The sequence below is a fragment of the Homo sapiens genome, chromosome 21 (assembly GCF_000001405.40).
Source record: "Homo sapiens chromosome 21, GRCh38.p14 Primary Assembly".
NCBI lineage: Eukaryota > Metazoa > Chordata > Mammalia > Primates > Hominidae > Homo > Homo sapiens.
In genome coordinates this window covers 33,005,749-33,007,774 of record NC_000021.9, presented here as the reverse complement: position 1 = coordinate 33,007,774, position 2,026 = coordinate 33,005,749, and positions in this window count along the sequence as shown.

Sequence of the window (2,026 nt, the reverse complement as noted above, 5' to 3'; positions counted from 1 at the left end):
AGAAACTGAGACCCGAACCAAACAGCCTCCACGGATCATCCAGTTTGCATCTTCCAGCTGTCCCAGCATCTCAGTCTGCACCAAGTTAAGCAGAACCTCTTGGTAAAGCCTCAAGTTAATTGCCGTTCTGGGGGCTACACTCTTCCCCATTTATCACTCTCTTGAAGGAATCTTTGCTTTACCCTCCAGCAATAAAAGTGCCAACCACTTCTCAGAGTTCCCTAGGACCACTTGGTGCTGGAGGAGGCTGGCTCTGCTGTGGAGAACCAGTGGAGAGTATCTTTTCCCAACTCCACATTCAGCAACTTGAAATTGGCCAGGATAGGGGCATCTCCACCATGGAAACTGGCAGGACATTTTTCCCTTGGAAACCCAGTTGTCGAACATTTCCCAGCACACCATTGCCCTGACCCCTGAAATTGCCTGGGCAACCTCACCGCACCCTCCTACTAGAGCCTCGGACTCAGTGGTTCTCAAACTCACATGTATAGAACCCACCTAAGGGACTTGCATACTTTGCAAATACTCACCCTCCTTGCCTCTCATCTTCTAGTCATAACTGGGACATGGTAGGAACTCAAGAAATGCTTCCTGAGTAAAAAAATGAACATGACTTTAAGGTGGGTAGTAGTATCATCTGCACTTTACAGATGAGGAAACCAAGGCACAAAATTGTTAAAAAAAAAAAAAAAAAGTCACCCAAGGTAGCATAGCTAGTAGGTACAGGAGTCAAGTGCAGGTCTGTCTGGCTCAGACAAATGCACATAGTGGACTGAAAGATCCCGGGCGATGGCCCTGCAGAGTCCCGGTGGCCTGGTCCCACCTAACAGTGATGGTAGGTCCTACCTACCATCGCAGCTGGCTTATCATCAGCGATCATTTTGGTGATGATTGTGCCCTTAGTGAGCTCAGGGCAGTGGACTTACACATTGTGAACTGACTACAGGACTATGCCTTAACTATGCAGCAAACACAACTATGAGACAGTATCACATGAAATTTTGGAGCATGGGTTTGGGGTCTAAAAGTCCTGGGTTCACATACCACCTAGGCACCTCAATTTCCTCATGAGCAAAAGAAGACTTATCTCTTAGGGTAGTCCATTTGTTGACTTAAAAATATTTGTGTAGCACCTACTTAGCCATGTACTGAGCTAGCTGCTGGGGCAGGCAAAACAGGCTTCATGGCCCCTGTCTTTCTGGAGGTTAAAGAAATTCTGAATAATACAAAACATGATGCATTTTCAAACTCAACCCCTGGCATGTACAAAGTGCTTGCCTTAATCAGAATTCCTAGTAGATAACCATAAGTTCTGTGGATGCAGAGGCTGCACCCATCGTGATAATTGCTGTATTTCTAGTTCCTGGCACATAATTGGTGCCCAATAAAATTTTCTTGTATAAATTAAAAAGAATTTCTTCTCTTGTAAATGACAGATGCCCAACTGAAACAGCTTAAGGAAAAGGAGGGGTTTGTTGGCGAATTGGGCTTGGCTGGTCCCGGATGCCCACTAGCTGTTGCTGGGAGTCTGACTCTGACTTGTCTCTGCTTTCCTCGATGCTGATTCTCTTCTGCCAGCAGCACAAGGCTCCCATACCACCAGCCCAGGCCTCTCAGCAGAAAGAGAATTTTCCCTTCCAAAGAGTGCCAGGGTTGACTCCTTCTGGCCCAGGGGAGGACACGTGTTTGTTCCAGACCAGTCACGAGGACCTGGTTGGCCAGGTCCAGACCGCACATCAACCCCTGGGATGGGTGGCTAGAAGTGCAGCCTCACTGGACCCAAATGCACAGAGGGTTGGGGAGGGGTGATTGCTCCTGACCCCTCCCAATTAAGGAGCTAGGACTGGCAGAGCATGGTGGCTCACACCTGTAATCCCAGCACTTTGGGAGGTCGAGGTCTCTTGAGGTCAGGAGTTCGAGACCAGCCAGGCCAACATGGTGGAACCCGGTCTCTACTAAAAATACAAAAATTAGCTGGGCTTGGTGGTGTGTCTGTAATCCCAGCTACTTGGGAGGCTGAGGTGGG